At 37.7% G+C, this 14,581-nt stretch overlaps 1 protein-coding gene across 11 annotated transcripts in view, besides 1 other annotated feature; it reads right to left on the bottom strand.

Annotated features, from left to right (window-relative positions):
* The window catches only part of EXOC4 (exocyst complex component 4), an 847,874-nt gene that overhangs the window by 700,708 nt on the left and 132,585 nt on the right, over positions 1 to 14,581 (bottom strand). The gene's annotated exons all lie outside the window — the stretch shown is intronic.
* Positions 13,608 to 14,146: an enhancer, noted in NCBI's record as "NANOG hESC enhancer chr7:133070852-133071390 (GRCh37/hg19 assembly coordinates)". NCBI's record gives its function as "activates a minimal SCP1, AML or CMV promoter by ChIP-STARR-seq in primed H9 embryonic stem cells {active_cell/tissue: H9 hESC(primed)}" and the evidence as "EXISTENCE:reporter gene assay evidence [ECO:0000049][PMID:30033119]".

The following is a 14,581-nucleotide window of genomic DNA, read 5'->3' as shown; positions in this document are numbered from 1 at the left end:
CTCTAGAACCAGGTCTTTAGTAGCTGAAATTATAAATTTTAGGACCAACCGTAATCCAAGGTGTCATCAACCCTAATAGTCTTCTGCGATTTCTATCTCTGGTCTCTCCATTTCTACCCAGGCTGCTCATATATCTCAGTGCCACTAACTCCTGCCCCCGCAGATCCAAGTGTCTTGAGCATAAATTCAAAATGCATATAAAAGTGCTGAGCATTGTGCCTAACACATAGATGGTATTCAGTAAGTGTTTAGTTCACTATGAGTCCTTAGCTAGCATTCAAAGTCCTTAGATATCTGACCTCTACTTAACTCTCAAATTTGAATGGTGACTAAACACATACATGAACCCTTACTCCAAACAAACTGGAACTCTCCCTGCATCAAAACATGTCATATGCAAGACATAGCTATCTTCCCTGCTTGGGACACATGCCACCACTACTCCCTCTTCTTTGTTTCTCTTACCAAAGCCTACACTTATGTCTAAGCCCTCTATCCCTAGTGGGCAGTCCAGCTCTAATTTCACCTCCATGTGAAGCATTTCTGAAAAGGTACAACTTTGCTCCTGTGATGTCCAACAGTATATCTTGTCTACACCACTCATGAGGCACATCTTGTGTGCATCTCTTACTGTGACTACTCAGTGTTATTTTAACCCAGTAAGATAACACTTTTGGAACATACAGAAATTAGTTTTATAATGGAAGCAACATCTGAGCATGAATACTCATTGTGTCCATAATTCCAGCTATGCTGATGTTTAGACAGATTCAGTCTGTAAGACAGAATCGCGCACTCAAATCGAGATTCAATGAACGAGTGATGCTGGTACTGTGTTGTTCCCTGACACAAGTGTTTAGTGGGTAGGTTTAGTTCATGAAATTTTGTGAAAAATATACAATGTGTGCACATTCCTATATGAATAAAAAATACAAAATAAACAGAGAGGAGAAGAAGAAAATCAAAGATATATATATAATCTGTACAAAAAAATAAATTCTCCAACATTGGCTTGGCAGCCATCTCAGCAATTCCGGCATCTACTTAACTTCAAGGGTATTTAAGAATGTTTACCTTTAGTGGTTTTAAAGCTATTAATCACTTTCACCCTTTGAACAAGGTGTAGTTGTCTGAAATAAAAATAATAACTATAAACTGAAAATGGCAACATTTCAGAGGATAGTACTGACATAATTTATAGGAATGGCAGGAGGACCAACTAATTTACATGAACAAAGCACTTTGGAAATGTAAATGGTATACAAATTCTAAATGAGGATAATAATAATGGTTGAGTTATCTATATTTTAACCTTTATAAATGTAATTAAAAAATAATAAGCACTTAAACATCGCTTTACATTCTCTAATCAGTGTAGAGATACTAACTAAGCCAGAGAGCATCCTTTGAAATACATGTAAATATTTCCACTTAGAGAAATGGAAGTCAAGTCACTAAGTTAGAGTGGCACTGAAAGGAACTAAAAGTAATCGAGTTCTCTTTCGTCCCTAGAAATTCAGTTGAGAATGTGGAACTTATGAAAATAAAGCAGAACAATACAAACTCAAATGTCTTGTTCTGCTTTTAGCTCCCTCTCTAAACCTGGCTTAAAAAAAGAAAGGATTACTGAGAAGTGCCTGGAAAGGAAAGTTATTAAAATGAAGAACCAGCCCTACTGTGTGCTCTAATCCACATTAGAAATTCAATACAACTGAATAAAGCAAATGCAAAGAGAGAGCATGAAATAGGAAAAAGGTTTACATGCAAAATCACTAAGATCCTGGATTGAAAGGAATTGAAATACTGGAAGGAAGTAACTAAACTAGAAAAATGCTGCTACAGCCCTATTTCATAATAGGACTGTATGTGCATCCTTGTCCTTACCTTATACTGGTATTAATATTTATTAAAAATGGCATTTAAGCTTAGTTATGAACATATATACTAACTGTGTCATTGCTGGAGTGAGGAGATAGCTTGATCCATGTGAAATAAGTCTTAACCTGGGAGGCTGTAGCCCATCACAGCCCCATATGACATTCAGTTCCCTCTAGCAGAAAATCCTTATTCTAGGTATAGGTGCCTGTCAGCCTAGAGGTCTCTGCATATTTTTTTTCCAGATTACAATAAGCAGGTTAAGCCTAATACATGAATAAGACGTCATACCAAAGCAAAGCAGACAAAGCCATAAAGGTTTTTTTATGTCTTTTGAAAACAATGGAGGCAAAATACTATAATTAAAAGTTTAACTGGAATTAAGATACAGCTGAATTTGAATCTCAGTCTCACCACTTAATAGCCGAGGCAAGGCACTTAACCTCTCCAAATTTCATTTTTGTCACCTACAAACTAAGAATAATAATGGCATTATAAATGTGGGGGTTAAATTAGATAATACATATAAAGTACTAAGCACAGTGGTATGTGGTAAATGCTTATCAAATGTTAGCTGTAATTTTTTAATTTTGTTATTAATGGAGAGAATAAATGGAGAGAGAAGAAAACAAAGGTGTATCTGCAGTACAGGAATGGCAAGTACAAATGCTCAGAGGGAACAGAGGAAAAAAATCACAAACAGAAAAGTTAAATGGAATAATATACAGAAGATAGGCTGGAAAATTATGGGAAAGGACAATAAAATAAGGAAGAGGCAAAATATTAATTCTTTATGACATTATTGAGCATGTACTGTGAAAATGACACAGCAATAGTTTACAGACAAAAAGCAAAGAAGCTGTCCTTAATGCCTAAGAACTAATAATTCAGTTAAGGAGACTGCAACTTTAGGTGACAGGTAAGAAAACCAAATGAGCCGGGCGCAGTGGCTCACACCTGTAATCCCAGCACTTTGGGAGGCCGACGCAGGCAGACCACCTGAGGTTGGGATTTCGAGACCACCCTGACCAACATGGAGAAACCCCTTCTCTACTAAAAATACAAAAAAAAAAAAAATTTGGCTGGGTGTGGTGGCCTGTAATCCAGCTGCTTCAGGAGGCTGAAGCAGGAGAATCGCTTGAACCCAGAAGGTGGAAGTTGCGGTGAGCCGAAGATCACGCCATTGCACTCCAGCCTGGGCAACAAGAGCGAAATTCCGTCTCAAAAAAAAAAAGAAAAGAAAACCAAATGAAACAAAAACAAACAAGAGGATATCGACAGGCCTAGATACAATGACTAGATGGGCTTTGTCTGGACCAGCTCCAGGCTGTTTCAAATCAAGGCTTGAGATGAAAGAATCATGATTATTGTTGTGACAAACAGCAAAGGTACAAGTCAATGAAATACTTCAGGTTTGCAAATGAACCCCTAAATATAATGCAGGTAAAAGCAAACTTCAGCATCTTGGTTGGTTTGTATTTCTTTTTCCATTACAACAGGATGGTACTGAATAGAAGCAAACTATAGCTCTCCCATTGAAAGGGGATAATGACCTTGAAAAAGTCACTCCACTATGCTTATTTTTTCCAGTTCGAAGTGGGAAGCTTCTCTGTAAAATAGGCACACTTCACAGGAAAAGTATAGTCATCTAACGAATCAAGTGTCCCAGGAGGAAGCCTGTTCAGAGGACATTAGGCCAACTAAATGAATGAGAGAGAGTAAAGGCAGAGTCAGGACTAGAACTGAGTTCTAGATTATAATCTGGTTTGCTCTTGGCACCCAACTTGCCACTCAACCCCTCAGGTACTTTCCTAATTGATGACATACTTAGTTGTAAAAAGTCACAAGAATAGCCACTTGAAAATCATTCCTTTTTAAATCTTCCTATTCTACAGCAGTTAAGAAAATAAATTTTGAAACCAGACCAAGATTCAAAGCCTGGTTCACTGCTTACCAATCAAATGAGCATGAACAGTGTCATCATCTGAACGGAAGAATAATGATGGCAGGCTCTCCGAAGTGTTATGAGGGTGGAAGGAAATAAGATATTTAAGGTTTGGCCCAGGTCATATTCATCAGCATAAGTGAGTCTGAGTGTTGAAGTTTCTTGAAATAACACTAGCGTTTCATTATTACAGTCTGTGTCTAATTCCATGGTTCTCCTGCATATCAGAAAAACCAGGAGGGCTTACTAAACACAGACTGCAGAGCTCCATCCTCCAAGTTTCTCAATCAGGAGATCTGGGATACAGCACTAGAATCTGCATTTCTAACTAGTTCCTAAGTGATGCTGATGCTGCTGGTCTGGGAACCACTCTTTGAAAACCACTACTCTATTAAAGATCATTCCTGATGCTACTGTCTATCCTGAGAAATTTTCATGCTAAGACAAAGGAATGAACCTCTCCTGTAGAATCAGAAAAGGCTAACATAAAACAAATTAAAAAAAAAATCAATCATCATATTGCCATGTTCGTATGCTGTAAAGAAAAAAAACAAAAAAAGCAGAGCTAAACAATCCCTAAAGAGAAAATTTTGGTTGTCTTCCCTACCCTTTTTCATAAAAATGTTAGCACAAGTTTATTCTGTACAAATCCCAAGTGATTCACTGTCAGATTAAATCCCCACAGAAATACAGACAGAATGAACAGATGGTCTTTTTCTTTCTAAATACAGTGTGTGTGTGTGTTTTATATATACAGTGTATATATATATAATTTTCTACTGAGCAGTAAAACTCACTTCCTCCAGAATCACATAGGGCCTAAATGTAATAATCTCAGTACTTTCATAACAATCACATTCTGGGGTCCTATTCACTTGCTCCTTTGATACTGTGAACTTCTTGTGCCGTATTTGCATCCCAGCTGGCCACAGATCAGGGAGATACAGTAGATATAAAATCAAGAGCATAATAGATATAAAATACAAGAATTTTCCCAAGCTCTTCTGGCTGCCTCCAGATTTTTGTTTTAAAGAAAAGGGCATCATTCTTCACTGTATATACTTCCTCATCGCTTTAATCCTGTGATTAGTGATCCTACAAGATGAACAACAGCTCTTCACACATATTGGAATGGTGTTTATATGTGGGTAGAGAAAAATTTTAAGACTACTTTATATTTAAAATGCAAACTTTCCTTAATGTGAGTGCTTTAAATGCCCCTATTTCACATCAGGAAGTTGCATTTACCCTTTCACGAGTAAATGGATTTTTCATCATCTTCAACTGCGACCAAGTTAAAAAAAAAAAAAAAAAGGCAAAAGTATTGCTGTTTGACCAGCAAAAATAATATAAAGATTTGGTGACCACAGCAAAATTATACTAATTACCATAGACTACCTGGTGATCTTCAAATTGAGGCTCTCAGAAGTAATTTACTACCATAAACTGACTCAAATACAGCAATTTTAATTTCATATTTTTATAGTTTCTTTTTTCCCTTTTTTTTTCTTTTTTACATTTTCCCCTTTTTAATGTTGCTGATCTTTAAAAAGGACATTGTCAGGCGCTTTTGGTAGTGTCTTTTTTATGCTAGGTTATTTATAACATTCACTTGAAGCTTGAAATTAAAATTCTTTCTCCTACCAATTTAGTGCCTTCCCATTTGGCAAACATCTCTTTTGATTCTTGCATCTCTAATGAAGCTGAAAATTAATATGACTTTTATGTTTAATTCTTTGATTATGCAAAAGAATCATCAATGATGTTAGCATGGTTCTGTATAGTAGGTCAGGAGTTGTAATAAAAGCCTTACATTTCTATAGCACCTCAACTCCCAAAGGACCACAAAACACTTCATAACTGTTTCCGTTTCTCAGAGGAAACACCTTCACATCACTCACTGAGCTGCCCCTCCAGTGAAATGCATGCTCTGATTAACTAGGGTTTACTCCAAAGAATTACATAATAGAAGCTCTGATGATTCTAAGGACAGACTTAACACTTAAAGAAGGTAATTACAAACCAAAGCTATCACTGAAAGAAATGGATTTAATTTGCAGCAAGTACATTTCACTAGCAAGACATGAAGGAAAAATTTTTAAATACGAGTAAGAAAATTAAAATGAAAAATCAAAAATTTAAATCGTTTTCAAAGAATAAAGGACAAGTTTGTATAGTTTAATTTCACTTAACCTATTATCAAATTTTTCACCATTCTTCCAAATCTATTATTGTCACACCCATGATAGAAATGATATTATCTATGCACGAGCATTGGCTATATAATAGTAATACTATGACAGTCCCAATTATTAATGGTTTCTCTTGCCAACATTATTTCATGCCCATTATTTCATGACATCATTTCATATCTGGAAACCTGAGCTAACAATCTGCCTGGCCAACAGAAACTCTTCATATAGGGATGATTTAAGTGCAGGCTGGTCTAGGAGAAAGCAGGAGGAACTGGTCTCCTGGGAATATAGCAAACCTTCGTAGCTTTATGAGTCTTCTGCTACATGATTTTTAAATCTACAAAGTTCAACACATTTACAAAGCATTTAAAATTCAACCTTGTCTTAGTTCAAACCACTACAACAAAATGCCACAGATTGAGTAGCTTATAAACAAGAGAAATGTATTCCTCACATTTCCAGAGGCTGGGAAGTCCAAGATAAAGGCATCAGCAAATTTAATGTCTGGTGAGGACCCCTGTCCTGTTTCATAGATGGCCATATTCTTGCTGTAACCCCACGTGGCAGAACTGTCGAGGGAGCTCTCTGGGGCCTCTTTTACAAGGGCACTAATTCCATTCATGAGGGCTCTGCTATCATGACTTAATTACTTCCCAAAGCCTCCATCTCCAAATACCATCACATTGGGGACTGGCTTTCAACATATGAATATGGGGTAGGGGGGACATAAACATTCAGTCTATAGCAAATCTTAAATCAATCAATAGATATGTATAGAGTATCTACTACTCATTTGTTCAAAACATATTTATTAAGTGCATACTGCCAAACTCTGTGAGTTTAGGGGAAGAGACAGGCACCATAAATAAGCCATAGTTCCTTCTCTCCAAAGGCTTAAAGACTAGTTGTGAGAAATTTAAAGACATGTAAGAAATGGTCCTCAAGAGAGCCTTTTTAATCTGATTAAAAAGGAAAGATGTGGATTCAGTAGAGGAAGAAAAATATAACTATTAGATATGTCAAATGAGTGGTAAAAACAAGAAATGCAATGAGTTCTTGAAGGGAAATGATCAATGGATGCTTCATAGGTAAGACAGAGGACTGGAGCATATCAGAGAAGGTATTCAGAGATGAGGGCAAGGACAGTAGGAAAGATGTATGGAATAAACAAAACTACTACTGTAGGAAAGGACAGAGTCATATTTAGAGGACAGAAAGAAAGGCTGATTTAACTGGAATACAGCATTACTATAGAAAAGGGTAAACTAAGCCTGGAAAAGCAGAGACTTTGTCCGAATTGTACAGGTATTTGAATGCCAAGCTAAGAAAACAATCTTATCCAATAGACTAAGATTGGATAACAATCTATCTAACAATCTTATCCAATAGACTAGTTTATAACAAGGAAATACAGACCATTTGTAATGAACCTGAAATTAAATTTGCATTTTTAGTTTACTTCTTTGATTATACAATGATACTACTACAGGGAAAGACTGGCATACACACCACTGTCACAGCATAAGGAGTCAAGCTCTTCTCCAGTAGCCCTTTCCCATCCAGGAACCTGAAATTTTTCACATTTCTACAGGACACAGTAAAAGTCTGTGGTCTCCTAGTCTGCTAAATATCCTTTTTCTTCAAAGTCAAGTCCTGGGGGAAGAGGGGAAAATAAAACCATCATTCACTCCCAAAGAGGCCAGCTTGCAGCCCTGTTAGGTTACTAGATATATCTGAAGAAGACACTGACCCTATACACATGGGCCCATTTTATATTACATGTATTCACCTTAGGTAAAGGACCCTAACACTGCCTCCCAAACAGAAAGGAGAAATTTCTACAACACCAGGAGGGATGGTACCAGGTCAACCTCAGGGCAATGAAGCTCCATTTTTAGCCTATGTCAATCAGGAAAGCATCTAAAATGTGCCTGGGTGTAGAAAAACAAGAGATAAAATTTCTTCCTAATCACAGCAGGTGAACAGATCATCAACAGGGCCCAGAATCAGAGAAGAGAGAAATGAAAAATGCCTACAGGGATATTCAGTCTATTTCCCTACTGATACACATTCAATTCTGTCAGGATCAAATGTCCAATGAAATTCAACCCAATTTTCCTAGGGGAATATCCTATGGTCCGATAGTTCTCACTGCAGAAATGTTCCCTGACATTCAGTTTATACTATGTATTTCTTAAATTATTTCTTTCTGTTGTGCTTGCCTATACTACTGCGGAAAGTAAGTAATTCCTTTATTTGTTACTTGAATTTCTAAAGATAACTATAAAGTCTCACCCCCATTGTTCCCAGGTTTAATATTTGCATTTGAATTTCCAATCAAAAGCACCTGACTTATGTAATCTATTACTTTCTATTCCTTCTCACATTATAGCAAGCACTGCCAATGTTAATCTCTTGATTAAAACATAGTTGACCATAAATAAGTCCTTGCTTAATTTTGCTTTAGAGCCCCTTTTTGCTGATATGCTGTCTGTGAAAGTATTTGGGTAATTCCTCTAAAGTGCACTGTACTAAACTAATGCCAACTAATGAGGAGTCTATGATGTATTTCCTCAACATCATCCTATCTCTGAAAAGGTTAACATCTCTTTACTTCCATGCTCATTCCTAAACATGCCACTTCTAAAACTTGTCTCATCTAAAGTCCTTAGTCACAGCAGATGCTCTGCTTGGGACTCCTACCCGTTTGTCTATCCTTCCAGTACGCACGTGTCCTACACTCAAGACAGCATCCCAGATGCTGCCTCACAAGTACTGGGTAGAAAGTAATGATCAGCCCAGCTCGGTGACGAGATGCTGTTTTGTGCAGCACAGCCAAAAATAGCGTTGGCTTTTTTCACTGCCATATCACGTTGCTAACACATATTTAATGTGCTGTCGTTTATCACCCCAATGAGACTGGCTAATTCGTGCTGAGCTTTCGTCATTTGCTGTAGTTCAATTGGTGACAGCCGTCATCTTCCTGTGAAATCATATCCAAAGCAGTGGATTTTGTTGACAGTGGTGGTGTTCACTTTATATTTTACTTTATATTTTCAAAACCCTTCACAACTTTCAGGTGGCTAGTCAAAAAATGTTTGTGCCACTCACTTATGTGACACAACTCTTTGGCAACACCAACAAAAATTTTTGGGAAGCCCAGAACTATTACAGAAAAATATAATCTGCACCTTTGAGAGCTATAAGATTTTCTATATAATCTTACTGAGGATAAAAAATTAAAATGATTTTGAACACAATTCCCCTGTGAAGAAGGGTACATCACCTGTGTTCAATGCTTCACTGAATTACAGGTATAGATTTGATAGCAAACATTTATTTTGCCATCCTTCTGCAACTAGGGAAAAGTATTCATAAAACACAGATGAGTAAATAAGATGCTGTTAAACAGGTTAAGGGATATTTCTGAATAGCACATTTTCTTAAAATCCTTTCAGCTAGGGAGGACTTTTGAAATGATTACATATAAGTTTTGTAGTTTCCCATTAACCACATTCTCTGTAGTCTCTGGATATAAGAGAGAAACAGCAGGAGAGGACACAAGGGAACTGTTGGTGCCCCACCCTCACTAACTAGTTCTCTCATGATGGAGGTCAGGCTGGGCTTCTGAAGGAACTAAAAGACACTAAGGCAAGTCTATCAAATCCCTTCAACCCCAAGGTCTTTCCCTATAGCTGGCCCCGCCCACTTTCTGTCCTGCTTGCTCTGCTTCTTCACTCCTCCCAGGCTCACTTATGGACTCGGCTTTTATTTCCTCCCAAGCTGTCTACATCCCCAGTGGAATCTCCAGCTTCGGAAAGCAGCTGGATTCTGCTCAAAAATCTGCTGCCATATCACCTATAAATGACGAAAAACCGCAGAAGCAAAGAAAGGCAAAATGTGGCATCATCATGAGAAACTCCAGTCTCTAAAGACAGTGTAATATTTTGCTGTGACAACTATAGAAAGCCGATTAAGCTGACGAACTACTTAAGGAAAGTGCTCCTCAGTTCACTCACGAGTTTCTGAGCTGGTCCATTTGTATGGCTTCAGCTATTCCCAGGCAGACAGAGAATCCCTAAATTTCTATTTCCTGCCCTTACCTCTCCCCTGGTCCCCCATGATCAATCTAGCTGCCTGATATGGCTTCGCTGTGTCCCCACCCAGATCTCATCTTGAATTCCCACGTGTTGTGGGAAGGACCCAGTGGGAGGTGACTGAATCATAGGAGCAGGTCTTTCCTGTGCTGTTCTCATGATAGTGATAAGTCTCATGAGACCTGATGGTTTTAAAAATGGGAATTTCCCTGCACATGCATTTTTTTTTTTTTTTTGGCCTGCTGCCATCCATGTAAGATGTGACTTACTCCTCCTTGCGTTCCGCCATGATTGTGAGGCTGCCCAGCCACATGGAACTGTGATTCCAATTAAACCTCTTTCTTTGTAAATTGCCCAGTTTGGAGTATGTCTTTATCAGCAGTGTGAAAACAGACTAATACACTTCCTATAACACAATTCTGCAAGGATAGTCTACCAATACACAGACCTTCAATTCAACATGCACAAAGCACCATCTTCCTGACCCCAACTCCCAATCACTCAGGTTCACAACTTCAACCTGACTTAAGACTCTCTTTTTTTTTTTTTTTTTTTTTTTTTGAGGAGTTTCACTCTTGTTGCCCAGACTGGAGTGCAATGGTGCAATGTCAGCTCACTGCAAGCTCCGCCTCCTGGGTTCAAGCGATTCTCCTGCCTCAGCCTCCCAAGTAGCTGGGATTACAGGCACCCACCACCACACCCGGCTAGTTTTTTTGTATTTTTAGTAGAGACAGGGTTTCACCATGTTGGCCAGGTTGGTCTTGAACTCCTGACCTCAGGTGATCCACTGGCCTTGGCCTTCCAAAGTGCTGGGATTACAGGCATGAGCCACCATGCCCAGCCGACTCTCCATTTCTTATAGTTAAGCCTAAAAGGTATTGAAAATTCCTTCTTTCAAAATCTCTCTCATCTCTATTGCCTTTCTTTTCCCTGCCTCTGCCTTACTGTAGCCTTTCCTTCCTGCACTGATTGAACCTGCCTTCTAATTCGCAGCTCTCCATTTCTCCTCTACCAATTCATTTTGCACACTGCTGCCAGACAAACCATCCTAAAAACATTACTTTCACTACTTTACTCCTCTATCCAAAAATGCATAATACCTATGAAGTAATTACGTCCCCAAAAATCAACTTAAATCTGATCAAGGCGCCAGATCCAAGATACAGGACAAAAATAAATAGCAAATGACGCTAGCAATCAGCCAAAGCCAGCCACACTGTGGAAAATTTTACAAAGCAAAGGATATAGTTTCTTCAATAAATAAATTTCAAGGGATAAAAATAAAATGACAGATGGAGCAGGAACTTATAGATTAAAAGAATCTTAATGTATTAATCAAATTGCAATATTTAAACCTTATTTGGATCCTGATTCAAACAAAATGTAAAAAATAATTATAATATTTGAGACAACTGGAAATGTGAACACTGACTGGATATTTGATGATAAAGAAATTAAGTTTTTAGGTATTATTTTATTTTTGAGACAGAGTCTCACTCTGTCACCCATGCTAGAGTGCAGTGGCACAATCTCGGCTCACTGCAGCCTCCACCTCCCCGGTTCAAGCGATTCTCCTGCCTCAGCCTCCCAAGTAGCTGAGACTACAGACACAGGCCACCATTCCTGGCTAATTTTTGTACTTTTAGTAGAAACAGGGTTTCACCACATTGGCCAGGATGGTCTCGAACTCCTGACCTCAAGTGATCTGCCCACCCCGGCCTCCCAAAGTGCTGGGATTACAGACGCGAGCCACCATACCCGGCCAATTTTTAGGTATAATTTTAAAAAGAGAGTTCTTATTTTTTAGAGATACATATTAAAATATAGATAAAACAGTATGATTTCTAGGATTGTTTCAAAATAATAAAGGAGAGGGAAATACGGAGGGATAGAAAACAGTATCAGTCATAAATTGATAATGCTGAAACTGATCAAACTGGATAATGAATACATGGGGAACCATTCTACTGGTTCAATTTCTGAACATGTTTGAAATTTTCCATAGTAAAAACAAAACAAAAATATAATCGCAGCCCGTGGCTTAAAAGGCAAAGTCCAAGCCACCCAATCTCTTCTTCAAAGGTCTCCCTATCATCCAAAAGTATTCAATCTTTTTTTTTTGTTTTTGGTAACATGTTCTAAGAAAACAAACAAACCCCCCAAAGCCCATCTCCCCCAGGTCTTTATAGTGCTGTTCATATTATACATTTATACTTAACTGTGTGAAAACATGCCAAGTCCCCCTTTGCCCATGAACTCAACTACTTTAACCCATTCTGACCTCAGCCTTCCAAGGTCTTCTCTAGTACTTGTGTTCAGACTGAACATTTGTCCATGGGACCATAAACTGTTCTGCAGTGTTTTTGTTTTGTGTTTTGTCTTAGCTCCCAGCAAGATTAAAATAATTTCCTAAATTCCTTTTACATGAACATGTTAAAAAGGAAAAAATTTCTCCCCTCCATTACATGAAAATCTCATCAATATAAGCCTTAAAAATTCATACAAGTAACAAATGGGGGCGGGAAGCAACCTAGAAAACCCCCTTCTTAATAACAGACAATTAACATGATGATATAATTGTTTCCAGTCCAAGAAATTATTGGATGAAATAATGCATTTGTCAACATTCTCAACTGTTCAAGTCAGAAATAGGAATTATCTATGTTTGCCAACTTTGGGCTGCTACTCTAAATAAAACTGACCAAAATCTGTAAATGGAGATCAGTTAGAGCACCGATGTCTAGTTTTTCTTTTCCCTTTATAGTAATGTACATTAAAGCACCTTCCCATATTTATGAAGTTTCATAATTCTATCTTCATTTACTATATGTTGCAGAACACAAACACTCTCCTAAACATGACATATCTTTCAAAATGAATCAAAATTTGCCTTCTGTAAACCTCTTCAACCCCTTAAGACTTTAATGGATTTGATTTTAGTATGACCAATCCTGTATCACTTACTAATCCTGCCTCTTAACCAGGAGTGTGCATTAGAATCAGTTAGAATCCTACTGAAGCATGCTCTAGAGATGTGGGGTCCACAGGCCATTCTAATTGTGCATCCCAAAAGAGATTTGCTGCTTTAAGATAGTAAAGATAACAAAACTAAGACTGACCATGAATAGGATAACAGAATCCAGAAGACTTCATCAACCAGATTATACATACATTTAAAATAGACCAAATAATGGGGTTCAATACATTATAGTGCACTGTCTGACTTCTGCATTGGTGTTTATTGCCACCTCTTTACCAGAACAACTGAGTCTTGCCCAGGACAGCAAAGATTCACAAAAAAAAAAACTCTCCTTTCATTACGTCTTTCATTTGCAGAATTCCAACTAATGGAGATCTTACAAGCCAAGATTAGAAGAAATGGTGCAATAACAGTTTCTACATCACCTTTTACCACAGAAGGTTTAAAGTCAAGGGCATAAAATATTAATATCCTACAATTTCACTTCCACTCAGTTTTTAAATTAAGCTTTGCATACACGTTATGGTACACGTATCAGTAATATCCCTCCATTCTATATTCCAGCCTTCAACCCTGAACAAGAGTATAAGCAGCACAAACTAAAGTGGTGAAGGATTGCTCCCTTCACTACCAGAATGCAGTACTCAGTGGAGTGACAAACAGGCAAAAGAAGCATGCTCTCGAAGGAACAGCAACTGCCAGAGAGCTCTTTGTGCTCCCTGCTGACAGCCACTTCATAAAAGCAAGATATACAAGAGAAAGCAACACCTTCTAAAAACAGGGAGAGAGGAAGTCACAGCTATTGCAATTACCATCAGCTCTGGAGAGGAATGGTGGGAGGCCCAGTGACCACTGGAATAGCCGTAATTAGCAAAATATTCAGAACATTCAGTTGATCTAATCTGAAGCCACTACCAAAAACAAAAAAGACATAGCCTCACCTTTCTTGACTGTATAGGGTAATGCAAAGGCTTAGACCAATCTCAGTGCCTTTATCAAAATATTTGGTATTTTAAAAGAGGAAAAGACAAATCTCTATGCAGAGATGGCTATTCTTTTAAACTTGAAATCCACACAGTAAATATGTATAATTATATCTGTCAATGTAAAAAAAAAAAACTTGAAATCCTGAATATTCACAATTAGAAAACAATCATACATGAATACATAAACACATGTATAGTGGTAAACACACTTCTATATATACAAACAAATCCCTGGTTGGCCATATTCCTCAACACAAAGCCTTGATTTTAAAAATATGTGAACTGAAATAATTTCAATTAAATGAATCAGTTGAAAGTTATCACGGATTCTCAAGTAAAATGTCAAGATGCCAAAGTATAAGCCAAAGTAGGCTTTTAAATCAATGACTTAAAAATTGCAAAAGAAAGCTAGGGCAAGCCGACTTCCATATTTGACTCTTTGGTGCTAAAAAACATGATTTAAAACCCATCACAGTTTCTCCATCTCTAAAATGGGGAGCAAT

The sequence above is a fragment of the Homo sapiens genome, chromosome 7, assembly GCF_000001405.40.
Source record: "Homo sapiens chromosome 7, GRCh38.p14 Primary Assembly".
Classification (NCBI taxonomy): domain Eukaryota; kingdom Metazoa; phylum Chordata; class Mammalia; order Primates; family Hominidae; genus Homo; species Homo sapiens.
The sequence above is the reverse complement of the archived record's forward strand: the minus strand, read 5'-3'. Positions and strand labels throughout refer to the sequence as shown.